General features: G+C 42.5%; 2 annotated features.

Moving 5' to 3' along the window:
- Positions 2,084-2,133: an enhancer, noted in NCBI's record as "active region_15625". NCBI's record gives its function as "activates an Ori minimal core promoter by ATAC-STARR-seq in GM12878 lymphoblastoid cells {active_cell/tissue: GM12878}" and the evidence as "EXISTENCE:reporter gene assay evidence [ECO:0000049][PMID:35858748]".
- Positions 2,264-2,313: a silencer, noted in NCBI's record as "silent region_11390". NCBI's record gives its function as "represses an Ori minimal core promoter by ATAC-STARR-seq in GM12878 lymphoblastoid cells {active_cell/tissue: GM12878}" and the evidence as "EXISTENCE:reporter gene assay evidence [ECO:0000049][PMID:35858748]".

The raw sequence follows: 16,616 nt of genomic DNA on the forward strand, positions 1-16,616 counted from the left end.
TAGTATCTTGTTATGGCAGCCTTAGCAAACTAATACAACACCCATACAATCAATCTTACCATCTTACCATTTTACAGAGGACAAAACAGTCTCGAGAGGGTATATAACTTTCCCAGCAAGCATATAGCAGAGCTGAAAATGCATAATCAACTGCGTGACTCTGGAACACAAGCTCTTAGAACTGGATCCTGCTGCTTCTCCTCTGTGCTCTACTATGCAAGTTCATGATCCATTTACTTATTGCTACAAAATAAACCATCCACAACTTATTGGCTGAAAACAACAACTTTTATTTTGCTCATGAATCAGCAATTTAGGCAGGGCTTGTTGAGAACAGCTCATCCCTGCTCCACTTGGTATCAGCTGGGACAACTTCAAGGATGATCTGACAATTGATGCTGGCTGTTAGCTGGGACCTTAGGTGGGGCTGCTGGTCCAAAATTTCATGTGGACTCTCTATGTAGCCTGAGCTTTCTCCTAACATAACAACTGGTTTCAAAGGCAAGCATCCCGGGAGACAGAGCCAGGCAGAAGCTTCTCTAAACAGCCGTAGCAGACACACAGCATCACTTTCGCCACATTCTCTTCCTTTGAAGCAAGTCACTGAGGCTGGTCCATGTTCAAGGGGAGAGGAATTCAATGCCACCTCTCAGTGGGAGGAACATCAAGGAATTTGCAGACATGTTTCAAAACCATTACAATGCATGTGCCATTGACATGCCTGAACATATTTTATGTCAAGTGTTTATTTACCACCAGCACAGTATCATCGAAAGGACATCAGACTGGAAGTCCAAAGTCCTGAACAAGAGCCTGTCAGCTGTGTGGGGCTGGGATTTCAACACCCATCTATGAAAAAACCAGTACCTGCTTGTCCACTCAGTTCAGCCACCCTCTATATGGAAATGAGGTCACTTAACCCCATTCCAGTCTCTAAAACCAATACTAATCCCAGTCAGCAGGTTAGTTAGAATGCTGCTCCTGGGGCACTTTATTTGACTCTCAGTTATGATAGCCTGGGTTCTCCCTGTCTCTGTGCCTGAGCCTGTCTTAGAAACGTAGCAGTCTATGTGTGGAGCACATCCTCAGGACTAGGCACTGTCACTGGTGCTTTATGTTTGCTATCTCATTCAGCTATTTCAACCCTATGAAGGAGGTTTCTTTATGCCCATTTTACAAATGAAGAAACTGAAATTCAGGGCAGGTAAGTCATTTGCCCAAAAGTTAGTAAAGGGCAGAGCCAGAACTATGAGTTGTGCTGTGGCCAGCTCTGTCTCCTCCAGGATCTGCTGTCCTGCCCCTGGACTGCCTGCCAGGACATCTGATGGCTTCTGGGTTGTCTGTACCTCTGCTCCTCTTGCCTTTTAGGGCCTCACCATACTTCTTGTTGAACCTTATCCCTGTCTCCTTCATGAACGACTCACTGGACTTCTACCATCCTGCATTCATCCTCCTGATCTAACTCCATATCCCAGCCCTCTGCATCTGCCCCAGCCTATCGTGCCCAACTGCACAGTGTCCTGGCATGGCTAGAGAGCAAGATCAAGCAAGAGAGCATCACCAGTGAAAAAACAAAAGCTCTGGAGTCAGACCGATCTAGATCCAAATGGTGGAGTGAGCTCCACCGTTTATTATTTGTGTATAAAAATAATGACACCCATGTTGCCTCGTTGTGAGGATTCTCGGTGAGTTAATACAAGTATAGGGCTTGGCATAGTGCCTGGCACCTAGCAAATGCTTAGTAAATATTAGTTATCTTTGCTGTTATTATCAATAATACTTGTAAAAGATCCACTAGAGAGCCTAGCATATGGTAGGCATTCAAAAAATGATAGCTGTTAATCTCATTGTTTAAGTCCTGGAAAAGCTACAGGAATTCAGAGAAGAGCCAGATAACAAGGTAGCAGAGACAGAAAACAGGCTGCCCAAGTAACTGCGCAGATCTGCAGATCTGTCTAATCCTAGAGCTTGGGTATGACTGGCCTTGATTAAGTGGAAACGCCTCCCTACAGAACTCCCATCTTCATCTGCCTCGATTAGGAGATGACAAGAGCTTCCTGAGCTTGGAAGCCCCTGGGAAGAGGAATTTCAAGAAGGAAAATCAGAAACACCCTGTCTGTGCTACGACTGCCCAGGATCCTCTGCTGTGGCAACATATATCACTGGCCACCCCACTGTGCCGTGTTCATCTAGTTGTCCTATATAGGTCTGTGGTTTCACAGGCTTCATCTGAGCCTGCAAGTTCTCAGAAAGTGGGTGAATGTGGTCAGAGTATGTTTCAGCCTCCCAGCCTCAAACCCACTCCAGGTTGAGATGTCAACAAAAACAGCAAGCAGGTGGGTAGAAAGCAACCATCAGATTTATAAAAGAGCTGTCAGATAACCACACACAGGCACTCACACTTGTGAGCATTTGAGAGCTGTGGTGCTGGTGCCCTCTTTTACCTTATTTTTCCTGCTGCTACCCTCCCAGGATCCTCACAACTAGATCCACCGATGCTCACAGCTCCTGAGTCAATGCTAACCAAGCTGGAGAGTATGTAAAGTTTGAGCAGATACAACGGCTTGGAATAATGTCACCAGCTCAGTTACAACTACTTGGCTCCTGTGTTCCTCCTGATTTTCCTTCAAGCCAGATGATCAATGAGGTGACAGGTATTTCCCCCAGACCACTCTCATTTCCCTTTTCCAATCATACATGGATCTGGTGCCCTCAGGGATGACCTCTAAGAACCCACATTCCTGCACCACGTTGCCTCTGAGCCTGAGCTCTCCTCTCCCCTCTCCTGGGCCCATTGTGATACAATCAGGCTCTTCTGTCCCTAATTTTGCCTAGGACCCAGTTCTTCTCTGTATAAGTCAGACATTGCTGTGATAATACTATGTAATAAACCATCCCATAATCTTAGTGGCTTACAAAAACAAACATTTATTTTCCTCACTCACAATCTGTGGGTTGGGTAGAAGGGCTGTGATTCAGGTGGTGAGTTGGGTACAGATCAGTTCCATATCTCTCTCCTGGAACCAGCAGCTACCTGGGATAGGCTCTTCTCATTACATATGGAAGCAGCACACAAAGGGGCTAGTGGAAGCCTCCCATGACTCTTAAGGCCTCAATTCAGAACTGTCTCGTTGTCACGTCCATCCATATTTCCATTAGCCAAAGCAAGGTAACTGGCCAAGCCCACAGCTGACAGCATGGGAATATAGGCTCTACCTCCTCTAGTAGGGTGCATGTAAAGCCATATGGCAAAGGGCATGGGTATATAATTCTATTGCAGGGAGGGAGTGGAGAATTGGAAATAATCATTCAGTCTCCAACATTTCTTAATCTAGAACTCAGTTACAAGCTCACCTGAGGGAATATACATCTTTTACTTGCCTGCTGGGCCTTCTACCCCTGATCCCAGCCCACTGGCCTAGGATGTGACTCTGAGTGAAGAAGTGTCTCACATGGAGACCCCGCCCACTTGGCTGCCAGTCCTTGGCTGTCACCAGCATCATTTACTCTGATCCACCCACCTGACTGTTCCTCTGGAATTCTTGAAGAAGCCTACCAGCCTAATTGGCTCCTCAGCCCTTATCTATACTGGCCTCAGGAGGGGCTAGAACCAAGAACTCAAAAACTGGAAAAACATTGGGGAACCAAGCAGTTTCTCCCACTCTCTCACTCTGCACTTCTGCTTCCTTCTCGCTGTGGGCATCAGCTTTCTCTGCTCCTCAATGGATGGTGGAATAGGGCCTGCTCTAGGCCTGGAGCCACTTTTGGCACCATCACCAGGATAAAGAGAATTCCAGTGTCCCATTTCCAGAGTCCCAGAGAAAGACCCCGGTCAACCATGGCTGGTATCATGACATAGAAACATGGTTGCCTACCCCTCTAGATGGAGGAGAAGAGAGGTGTGAGCTGCCAGACAGTAAGAAAAGCATGGAAACCAGAGGTTTCAGGCTGTAGTCTTCTGAGCTGACTCTGGCCAGAGATGTGTTTTGTTTGGCCCAAGGGATTTTTTTAATGTTTTCAATTACTTGACAAAAGTTAGAAATTGAGAGTTCACATATGAATCCAAATACTTTTTTCTTAAAAAAACTGAAAGGTCTCAATTGGAAAGGAGTGTGAGGGGCCTTATGGGTCCTGATGCTGTTCTGTTCCTCAATCTATGATCTATTCATGGAAAATTTATCAAGCCATATACTTAAAATAGATCCACTTTTCTATTTGTATATTACACCTTCTTTAAGTTTTAAGAATTTAGAAGGTCTATAATGAAATCACATTCCAGCAAGGAATAAGTCCTCTGGAGCTGAGTAGTTTTCCATACCACCATACCCCTCACTACTCCCCATTCTCTTCCTATCACTGAGGCCGAGGGTCAGTAGTCACTCATCATCGTCCTAGACTATGATTTTCTTATAACAGAGTTGGGAAGAAAGTAACTTTTATATGGACATTCATACATACATATCCATAACTCAAGCAAAAGGACAGACACAAAAGAGCATCAACGAGAGCTATGTGTTTGCATGTTTGCAAAAAAAAAAAAAAAAAAAAAAACGGAAAATAGCTTTTTATTTTTGGAGAAGTTAAAATCATTCTTCCAAGTTTGACATGCAAATGAAATGTGTCAGTATCAAAAGAATTCAAACAAAAAAGCTGTGAGGCTGGTAGGGAAACTTAACGATCTAAAAGAAAGTACTGATGTTTTAACATGTTTTATTTTTCAAAGCAAATAAAACAAATGACACAACTGTGAAATGAAGTTATGGAGAAGGAGAAAATATTGCTCATGCATTGAAACCTTTTATTAATGGTGAGTTTACAAAAGAGAATCTACTGAGGATAGAGAAATTCATACCTTGAACAAAAACAAGTATTTGCAAATGGAAGACTAAACAGAAACGCTGGTTGCTCAACAAGATGACGACATGGCTGAGAACTTACAGGACAGGTTGTGTGAAAAAGTTAAATCATTTGTGGCATTTCCTAGTGAAGCTTATGAGAGCCCAGTTAAAATAATACCACCCAGTCAGCTATATTTATTTATGGTTCCAAAGAGACTTCAATGTGATTGGAGAACTTTTGGTCATGGTGTCCATCACAGGCACAATTTCAGGAAATTACTTAGCTTTGTGTGTTGAGAAGCCTTGAAAAACTTAAAGCAGACAGGTCAAAATTAGTAAGCCTGGCTACAAAACAGAGCTCCTGAAATGATCAGCATTAACACTGACCTTGTTATGAATCTTAAATCTAAGGTGGCCAATTTTGCACAATTAGGGAAACTAAATAATTCACCAGGAATTGCCTTGTGCTAAAAAGTTAAAATAGAACACATATCATGGGCCTAGTGAATGGGACTTACTCCCATGGCTAAAAGCATAAAGAGTTCAGTGCTTTGCCTGATAAAGTGGATATGCAGTAGTCATAACACTCGTCTGTTCTAATAAATAAAGGGTAGTTAGTGTGTAATGTCGGGGTCTTTCATGGGTGGGAGGGGAGGAACAGCTGAAAAGTTATTAACTTGTTCATATCATCCAACAAAAATACCCCAGCTCACCAGCAAAGATTGGATCAAAGTATATGCCTTTTCAGTAAATATCACAAGCCATTTAACCCTTTTGGGTATCTCTTTAAGAATTATCACAAATATGCAAATGGCTATTCAGTTTTCTCATTCTTAGTGAAATTATATCTTAGGGAAACTCATTTGGCAAAGAATCATCTGGCTTATTTTCCTATGCTGAAATCAGTTTTCCAAAATGAAAGAGGTCTCTTCAACTGCTCTCTAAAAATTCTGGAGCTGAAGACAGGATGAGATTCCAAAAAAGTTGCTAGTTTTATGAAAATGATCTTTCTCAATATTGTGCCACAAATGCAATTTTTTGAACTCACCTTTCTCAGTATTGTAATATAAATGGAATTTTTTGAACCACAATTCATTCCCTAAAACTAAATTTTGCAACATTGGAATGCCAGAATTCTACAAATATCTCAGGAGTGGTTACCCTAAATATAAAAACCATCATACAAATATTCTATCAATGCTCAGCCATGAACAGCTGTTTTCCATTATGAAACTAAATAAAACGATTGCTCTCAGTTAAAAGATTCAAGGTTGAATTCTATACAGCACATCACAACATGAAATGCAAGACTCAACATTGACATGTTGGGGTAAAAGAAAAAGTGTCACATTTCTGGTTGTAAAGCAAAGAAGTAATGAGGTATGAAAGAAAAAAATTAATAATTACATATTTCTTTTTTTAATGTTACATTTTTCAATTTCAAACTTAATATATAATCCCCAATATCACACGTTTATATTATATTATGTACTTATGCCCTAGTCAAGTAAAAATGAAAGTTTGATTACATTTCTGGCTGTTGATTTTTCTTAAACCCAGTCCACTTTACTCATTTTTGTTGCCATTCTGAATTCTGTAAGAATCTGAGTTTACAACCTCTGGTGTACACTCTACATGTATGTTATTTTCTAGGAAAAAAATTCTCATTGAAAAATAACACATGCTCAGTTGCTCAATGATGAAAACAGAAAATCTAGAATAGAAAGAGAAGACTGTCTTACCATATGAGAGTGTTTATCCAAAAAATTCATTTATAGAATATATAATTTTTTTTTGAGACAGTCTTACTCTTATCACCCAGGCTGAAGTGCAGTGGTGCAATCTCAGCTCACTGCAACCTCTGCCTCCAGGGTTCAAGCGATTCTCCTGCCTCAACTTCCTGAGTAGCTGAGATTACAGGCGCACGCCAACACACCCAGCTAATTTTTTTGTATTTTTAGTAGAGACAAGGTTTCACCATGTTGGCCAGGCCAGTCTGGAACTCCTGACCTCAGATGATCCGCCCACTTCGGCCTCCCAAAGTGTTGGTATTACAGGAATGAGCCACCACGCCTGGCCTAGAATATGTAAATGTTTAATTAAACATGGGATAATACTATACAGAAAGTTTCATAGATTTCTAGTTTTAAGTGTTCTAGGAGTAGAAATGTTAGTGGTAACATGTTATTCTGTAATGCACTTGTAATATAACTATCTTAGCTTGTTTGCTATTATTGCCTATGTATGTTATTTCCCATTTTTAAATGGTTAGTCTTGATACCTAGCCTGGCTCCATCTTTTTCTTTCCTGTAGCCATGTTATTACTCATAAAGTCTTGTGCCCAGTAGCTGAGTTTCTTTCCATTACACCTTCCAGTAAAGGCTGCCATTGGTTCAAATTGGAGTTTGGTAATCCTCTGAGGCAACTGAAAATGGTTCAAACATGTGGGCCCTTCTTGAGCCCAACCTCCTCTAGCACTTCCATTTTTCTGGACCCTTAGTCCTTGTTGCTCAGAGAGTGACAGGTTTATTCTGTTTGATGAGAGGGGTCTCTGACTGGTTCATTCGCCTATATGGACCTCCTTGAAGGGAAAACAGAGCTATTCCAGAAAGATAAAATCTAATCTAAGTCAGGAATTCTTAAATATGGTTAGAGAGAGCACCTCATTGAGGTTTAGACGAACAGCCAACTGCAGCCCAACCAGCCCAGATATCACTGTATTTTCCTTGAGCTTGTATCTCCTGACTACCCCCATCGCCAACCCCCTGCTCAGCATTATTTGTGCTCATCACATATGTCTAGAAATCCTCCTGGTCCTAAAAGAAATAGAGGTATAGATAGGGGGCCTCCAATCTGATGAGGGAAGAAATCCCATTTGGGGAGGCAGTCCCATTTGTGTAATTAGGAAGTCATTTACATCCATGGGGATCCCTAGTTTGACAGGGAGGTAGACCCCACCATTTGGGAGCCTCTGGTTTGATGAAAGAAACCCAGTTTGCTGCTGTGATCAAAGGCTCTCAGAGAACTTGCTGATGGCTTCAAGTGGGCAGGTCAGCATGTGGAAATAAGCAAGAATTTGCAAAGGGAGACGGAAAACCTTCAGACTAACTGCTTAGGCTGGGGCTCCAGGACTGCAGAATGAAGAGATGAAGAAAAATGTATCTTATCGCAGCTGAACAAAGGATGTCATGAGCTTACCAGGGCAAAACTCTGTAGAATTATCTTTTCTAAAAAATGATAGACCAGGCATGGTGGCTCACATCTGTAATCCCAGCACTTTGGGAGGCTGAGGCAGATGGATCTCTTGAGCCCAGGAGTTCAAGAGCAGCTTGGGCAACATGACAAAACCCCATCTCCACCAAAAAAAAATACAAAATTTAGCTGGGCATGGTGACGTGCGCCTGCACTCCCAGCTACTCAAGAGGCTGAGGTGGGAAGACCGCTTGAGCCCGAGAGGTGGAGGTTGCTGTAAGCCAAGATTGTGCCACGGCACTCCAGCCTGGGCAACAGAGTGAGACCTTGTCTTGAAAAAAAATTAAACAGATTAAATAATTTAAAAATGATAAAGATCCAAATTAAACAGCATAACAGTACATTTTTAAGTGAAAGAAAAGTCAAGACTGTCCCATGGCAAAAGAGCAGATGCATTCACTTTCTTTTCCTCTTGAGACTTTACCAAAATGCATTTTTAAAAGGTATAAATCCTTAATAGGGAAGAAAATGGAAGGAGTCCTTCAGCAGAAGAAAAGTTTCAACCCATTTCTAGAAATCTTAACGCCAATAAAAGAGAATTCGCTGACAAAGCAAAGTAGCTGGCAGGATAGAAATCCTGATCTCCTAGAAGCTTCCTAGAAGGAGCTGTAGCTGCCCCACCTGGCCCTACCCTGGAGAGGGTCTGACTCAAAGACAATAGACAAGGTGGGTGATGAAAGTAAGAATAAGTGGGAGATTAATTCAAAATATGTATACAGCATGGTAAGGGCACTCTAACCATATCCACGACCTCAGCTGTCAGAATGGTTTGCAACCAGGCTCTGAATCCTAAGGCCAGAGAAGGGAGCCGCAAAGAGAGAAAAGGACAGAGGGGAGGGGAAGAAGGGAAGAAGTCTCCTCCAAGGAAATTTCAGCGTCTTGGAGAACAGGGACAACAAGGGTTATTGGTGGTACACCAGAGTAAAGAAAGCCCCAATATCCTGGATTTCAGAAGCCCACAGCAAGATGGCCAGCCCCTCAGCCCCAGCCCCCATCTTCCTCTCACCAAAGCCTTCCAGTGACCACCCATAAACACAGAGCTCCCAAATGTATTTCCCAGTCCCTCATTCTCAACAACCCAGGACCCCAGACACTGAGGAAAGCCTGCAACATAAAAGAGATCTAGAGAGCTAGCTCCTCATCCATCAGAGCCAAAATCAGCAGATAATGCCTGAACTGGATAAAAGAAGGAAGAATGGTATACACACATTATTTAGATATGTTTTAGAACTAAAAACAGAAACAGATAAAAGCAGATGTCTCTTAGTAGCAGAACAGGAGGTGGAGGGGTGGGATTGGAAGGGAAGGTGACTGTTGCTTTGCATTATAAGCTCTTCAGTAGTATTTGGTTAGATTTTTTTAACTTTTAAAATATTTTTAAGGAAAGGTCACACTGTAAAACTATTGCCAAAAAAGGAATCATGAAAATAACTCATTGCTATGTAATCTTAACTTTTTGTTCCTGAATTTTTTCAAGCAACCAATGCAAACAGAGATTCTCTAGCAGTTTCTTCATGCATGTCCACATCAGGCAGTAAGTGCCTTATGTTTTAGGGAATTGTTATAGAGAAGGAACCAGATTAAATTACCCCTAAAGTTTTCCTTTTTGTTTGCCAATTAGATCAAGGAGAAAGATTAAGATCTGAAAGATCAGGTAAGTCTTCCATCGCCTCCAATATTTCTTGAGCATACACTGTGTATTAAGCAATGTTCTAGATGCTCGAAGACCAGGACAAGGTACTGTCCCGGAACTAACATTCTAGTGGGAAATAAGAGGCAGAAGACTATAGACAAAAAACAAGGCAATATTAGATAGTATCAAGAGTTAAGCCGAGGATTGAACTGGTTTAGTGATAGAAAATGGCTTAGTGTAGATGATCAGGTTGGTTGGCCTCTTTGAAGGATAACAGTGACATTTAAGCTGAAGTCTAAATGAAAAGAAAGAACCAGGCTTATAGAGACTAGGGTGGGAGGGTGAGTGGTATTTCAAGTAGAAAAGTTCCAAGTGGGCCAGGCACGGTTGTTCACACCTATAATCCCAACACTAAGGTCTCTGCAGAAAGCCTTGGGAGTATAGATAAAACATTGTCTCAGGAGTTTGAGATCAGCCGGGGCAACATAGCAAGACCCCATCTCTACTAAAAATTTAAGAATTAGCTGGCTGTGGTGGTGCATGCCTGTAGTCCCAGCTACTTGGAAGGCTGAGGTGGGAGGATCACTTGAGCCCTTGGAGGTTAAGGCTGCAGTAAGCTGTGATTGCACCACTGCACTCCAGCCTGGGTAACAGAGAGAGACCCTGTCTCAAAGAAAAAAAAAAAAAAAATCCAAGTGAAAGTGCTCCTGCAAGTGAAAAAAGGAAAAACCTCCATTTCCTATGATACGTATTTATGTATTCTAAGAACTGAAAGAAGGCTATCATGACTGACCTTAGTAGCTAAGAGGGTATAAGAAGAAATAATGATAAGGCAGATAATACAAAGACCAGATCATGTTGACTTTCTAAGCCATAGCAAGGAGCTGGGTTTTATTATAAACATAACAAAGTCTTTGAAGACATTTACACCACAGAGGGACTTGATCTGATCTGTTTTTAAACTACTTCTGGGATGGTTTGAGTCCAGTTATTTGATATGTCTTTAATTATTAAGCAAATAAAGAGGGTTAAGGTAAACTCAAATCAAGTTAGAATGACTTCTGTATTAGGAAGACAAGCTTTCATTCATTGATCATTCATTCATTTGAAACTATTTCTTGATCATTTGCTAGTTGCCCAGCATTATGCTGAGAGTCAGAGATAACGCAAGTCCTTGTCCTCAGGGAGGTTGCAGGGACAACTGGCATGGAAAAACCTTATTGAATCTGATACTCAGCTGGGATAAAGTTTGGGATGAGGAAATGCAAGATTTTCCTTCTCTGAGAAAGTTATCAGGCCATCTGGATTTGATAGGACTCAAGAAGGGATGCCTCCTTTCTCTGTCCTCAAGAAGAAATGTAGTAAGCTTGCAAAGATGACCTCCCTCTATCCATGACTTTTGATACATTCTCCTACCCTGACTCGGGGCTGGCCTTGTGACTCTCTTTGGCTGATGGAACAATGGCAAACATTACCTAAACAGAGACTTGAAAAGCACTTGCACATTGAGGCTTGCTCTTTTTTGATACTCTTGGGAAGCTTGCAACTACTGCCCTGTGAACAAGCCCAAGCTAGCCTGAACAATGAGAACACGTGGCCAAGTGTTCTCCGTTGCTCCAGGTGACATAGAGCAAACCACCAGACGTGAGTGTGAGGCCACTCTAGACTGTCCATCCCCAGCCAGGACAGTCTGTACCAGACAATCTACCTAGCCTATCCCCAGAATAGTAAGACCATATTCTGTTAAGTCAGTACATTTTGGGAGTAGTTTATTATACAGCAAAAGCTAGCTGATACAAGAATGCAGAAAAGTCCATTCATTTCTCCCAAAAAACGCCTCTCAAATCACATATTTCAGGCAAAGGACTGGCTCCTCTTTGTCAATGACTTCTGAAAACTGTCCATTTTTTTTCTAACATTTCATAACATCTATTGATTCTTCCTTTGGACACTCACCTACCTTAGGAGAAAAAAAAAATTCACAGCTCTGGCCAAGATAGGAGCTGGTCCTATCAGAGCTATGTACAAAGGAATCGGAACAGGTACAGTGGAACCCAAGATAAGCATGTGATGGCAAAGTCAGAGGGGCTGCACTGCCAATGTTGAACCGGGATAGACAAGAGCATAACAAAGAAGACACCAGGGCAGAAAACACCCTAAGCAGCTTTGCTCTGAACTCTCCCCTCTGCAAGAACCCTTCACCCAGCCCAGGGATCGGAAACTCAATGGAGAGCCGGTAAGCACAGTAAGAAAGAGTTTACAGCTTCCTTCCTCAAAAGCTTCCAAGATAAACAAAATAAACACCAGTTGGTCTCAGCTGGTCGCACATTGGCCTGCCTGGAGGAGGGGGATGCCAGAGATAGCTTCTTGAGGTTGCTTCCAGCATTGCATTCTAGGAAATAGACAATTATGAACAACATGGATTTTATTATCGTGACATCTCTAAGGTCTCTGCATAAAGCCTAGATTTAAAAATATAAACATGTAAGTGAAAAAATGTCAGGGGAATAAATATTTGTCTTAAAAGAGACCATCTGTTTCAAATTTTTATTTAAAAAAAAAAAACCCAACATGTGTTTTATTTTAAACTTGTATGTGTGTTGTTATCCTTGGGTTAAGTATTAGGTAAATAGACAGAAGCATTGAGAATCCATTTTCCAGCAAATTTTGGTTAGAAATCCTCACACACGTGACTCAGGAGATAATTTGGGGGCTAATTGGAGCTTTGTGGGCAGCCAACTCCTTGCAGACCTCTCCCCCATGCAGTCCCTGTTTGATACGGATGAGGATTTCCCTGGCACTAGTGTTTGTTTTGGACAAGACGGTATGTTACACCTCCGGGGACTCAGTCAACACAACACAACACAACAACACAACACACTGCAGGCTGCTCCAAGGCCAGCCCAGTTGCACACCCAGATGTAGGTGCAGCCAGTGGGGCAGAACCACAGAGCCCACTTCTGTTTGGGCCTCAGTTGTGGCCTCAAAGTTCAGTCCCTTTGGGTAAAAATCCTGTTTGATGGTGATAGCTAGGCTGGCAGGGGTGGGGTGTCAAGAAAATCTTCCTAAGGAAATGACTGAGAGCTGGTCCTGGTGGGTGAACAGGGGAGACGCATGGAGGAGGCCGGTCCTGAAAGAGGGTGCAGCTTGGAATAATGATGGGGTCTGGGGTATTTGGGGAAAGGCATCAAGCTCAGTGACTGTGGAGCAGGACATGAGATGGAGAATGGCGGCAGATGAAGCTGAGTGGTGGCTGGGAACAGGGAACGGCTCTCACTTTTTTTGACTGTTCTTCATCGCTTCCCCATTGGTTCCAGGCAATTCTGGTGGTGCCGTCAAGCTCTCCATTCAGAGCACCATCCTACCCCACCCCTGACACAGCCTTCGGCCCAAGAGTGCTCATGACCTGGTTAGGGCCACAAGGAGCCCTTTTCAGGGAGATTAATGGATCTGCAAGAAACTGCTTTCCCTTTCCTTCTGTGGTCATGGGCTGAAAGCATCCAGTAAGGCATCTTTCTCTTTCCCACCTTGTGGAGCGTTCCTGTTCGTGGATTAAAACTAGCATAGTAAAAACAAAGGGGAGGGAAAGGGGGAGGGAGAAAAGGAGCGGAAGTGGGGGAGGGATTAATTATATTCTTTGAGGTCCTAGGTCCAGCTTCACCTAACCAGGATGTTTCTGGTTTTACTAAAGCTGGTCAGGGTTGGTTTTCCAAGAAATGATTGACTAACACAGTTGGAGTCAAAGTTAAACTTGCAATAAAAGGCAGACAACTTTATCTGCAGGCAACAGTCCAGGGGTTCCCTGCAGTTGAAAGAGATAACTGCTCACCAAAATATATGCTCCCACCTCCTAACTAGGAAAGAGAAGCCCAGCTAAGAATTACATTACCAGCCCCCGACGCTCCCTTGCAACTATATGTGGCCTGTGACTGTCGCTCACCAGTGGAATGTGAGCAGAAGTTCTATGAGTCATTTCCAGACCAAGACTTTAAAAGTGGCCCTGCCTTCTCCATACTCTCTTTACCTTCTGCCTGCATGGGGAGGATGATGAGAGGTCCTGCAGGATAAGGACACGACAGCAAAATTTCCATCAAATTTCCATCGAAAAGGAAATAAACTTCTTTTGCATTTGAGCCACTAATGCAGTATTGGATCTAGTCATTACAGCAGCCAGGTTTAGCCTAAGTGGTACATCCCCTTCAACATTCTGGAAGTTGCTTGCAGTTCCAGAAGTCCACTGCCTACCATATTGCTCTCCATTGCCAGTTATCCAGATCAGTGACCCCTACTGCTGAAATCCACCACCACAAAATCTGTTAGTTTCATGTATTTATTGGGCACCTACTACATTCTAGGTTAGGTAGTAGTGTTTGTGGTTATGATGATGAATTAGATAAGCCACATTTCTCTGACTTTAAGTCACCATCAATTGTGAGACATATCATTATTTTATGTACCACTAAAACAAAAATTATGGAACCCTGAGAAATATATTGCCAATTGAACTATGATGACAGGCCATCAAAAGCTATAGTAATTTCAGAAATGTAAACATGTGGAGGGAAAATAAGTATCTTAAAACTGATAAAATACAGGATTTCTTACCTTCAGGTAGCTGAAGGTCTTGTGGAATAGGCAGATAGGCAAATAAATACAAAGCACACAATACAAATACTTTAGCAAGTATATAGATGGTTCATCTAGAAAGAAGTAATCAACTTGGCTTTAGAAATGGAGACAGCTTCACAAGGTGATGTTTGCACTGAATTTTGAAAGAGGAAGAGGGAAGGCAATTGCCAGGAGACGTTTTCCCCTTTGCAAGCAGGTCTTCTATGTTCCCTCTCCACACCTTCAGAGAGGCATACGTGCATCCCCAGGAACTACGATGTTTTAGCAGAAACTCAAAACACTATAGCAATAAATGCCAACCAGACGGCTTCATTTTCTGGATAAATGGAAGCTAATCCTTTAGGTGCCAAGACATCATTTTAATGGGATATATTTTAATGGAAAACCTTCCAAAGTGTACCATAGTAAACCTTTGGCATCTGCAAGGAGTACATCAGGGGGTCTTGGTGAACCTCCAAATTCACGAATACAGCTAAACCTGGACAGACTCCTGGCTTGCTCAAGGATCACATTTACAGGAAAAGCCACAGGTGTCCACTGTGTAGCCTGGCACCACACACCATCCCCCTTTTCCCCTGACTCTACACTTTTGCCTCTTCCTTGATGAGCAATTATATGTAACCGATATATTGACCACGCATGACTTATGATGTAATCAAAGCACAATTTTATTTTCATCTTCCATTATCCCTTTAAACCTGATTCCACATGGGTAGTCTTTCTCTACTGCTGAATAAAACCTCCTGCAGGTCCAGAAGATCCTGCAGGGGGTTTTATTCAGCAGTAGAGAAAGATGGAACTTTTTGGTTCAGTCTTGTGTGGTTGACACGCTAAGCCACTTGAAGTGAAAAACAACAGTCCCAATGTGGTGACCTGAATGGCCATTCTGTGCAATAATTAAACTTTCCTACTTGATTGAACAACATGCCCTTCTCCCTACCCACAGCTGCACTTTGCTTTAGGCTGGAAGCCTGTGGTGAGAAGGGAGGAGGGAGTTGACCCGTCTGCCTCGTGTCTTTTACCACACACAGACCCCGTGGGGAGGGAGTCACAGCTCTGTAACAGCTCTCAGCAGAGAAATCTCATTTCTAATCCATTCTCCCTTTTCAGTGCCTCAAACATTTTATTTTCTCAAGGTGGATACAGCAGTGTTGAGTTCACTTTCCTTTGTACATTCTGCAAGGGGTGATCTAACTTTGTAATTTCACATCTATTGTACCTTGGTGTCTCTGTCCACTATCTTTTTTAACATCCCATGAAATGTATTATGATGGACTGAATGTTTGTGTTCCCTCAAAATTTATATGTTGAACCCCAATGAGATGGTATTTGGAGATGGGTCCTTTGGGAGGTAATTAGGGTTAAACGGGGGTGGGGCTTTTGTGATGGGATTAGTACCCTTATAAGTGATCCCTCCCTCCCTCCCTCCCATGTGAGCACACAGTGAGAATGTGGTCACCTGCAGTACAGGAGAGGACTCTCACCAGAACCAGACCAGGCCAGCACCCTGACCTCAGTCTTCCAGCCTCCTACACAGTGAGAACATAGATTTCTGTTGTTAGCCATCCAGTCTATCATAGTTTATTATGGCAACCACAGGTGACTAATACAATTACTAAGCAGAGCCTGCAGTGAAATAATTTTACAGATCTTTCTCTCTATTCTTTCTCTAGTTTTTGTGCTGGGCACATAGTAGGCATTCAAAAATATTTATTAAATGAATGAATAAGTGAATATATGGCACAATGACAGAATCACTCACTTCTAAAGTCCAAGCCACTGCAAAATGCCACATTCCATTTTCTGCATGTGTGTGTGATTTTGTTTTTTAAATATGTAAGTAATACATAGGCCGGACACAGTGGCTCACACTTGTAATCCCAGCACTTTGGGAGGCCAAGGCGGGAGGATTGCTCAAGCTCAGGAGTTGAAGACCAGCCTCGGCAGCATGGCAAAACCCCACATCTACAAAAAATACCAAAAAATTAGCCAGGTGTGGTGGTGTGCGCCTATAGTTCCAGCTACTCAGGAGGCTGAGGTGGGAGGATCACTTGAGCCCAGGAGGCTAAGGGAGCAGTAAACTGTAATCACATCACCGCACTGCAGCCTGGGCAATAGAGCCAGACCCCATCTCAAAAAAAAGTAATACATGAACACATTCTTGTGTGTTTTAAGTTAAACAACATACAAGCAATACACGAATCCATTCTTGTATATGTGTGCGTGTGTGTTAAGTTAAACAACATAGAACTAGGTAGAAGAAA

This window comes from Homo sapiens, chromosome 2 (assembly GCF_000001405.40).
Source record: "Homo sapiens chromosome 2, GRCh38.p14 Primary Assembly".
In the NCBI taxonomy this organism is placed as follows: domain Eukaryota; kingdom Metazoa; phylum Chordata; class Mammalia; order Primates; family Hominidae; genus Homo; species Homo sapiens.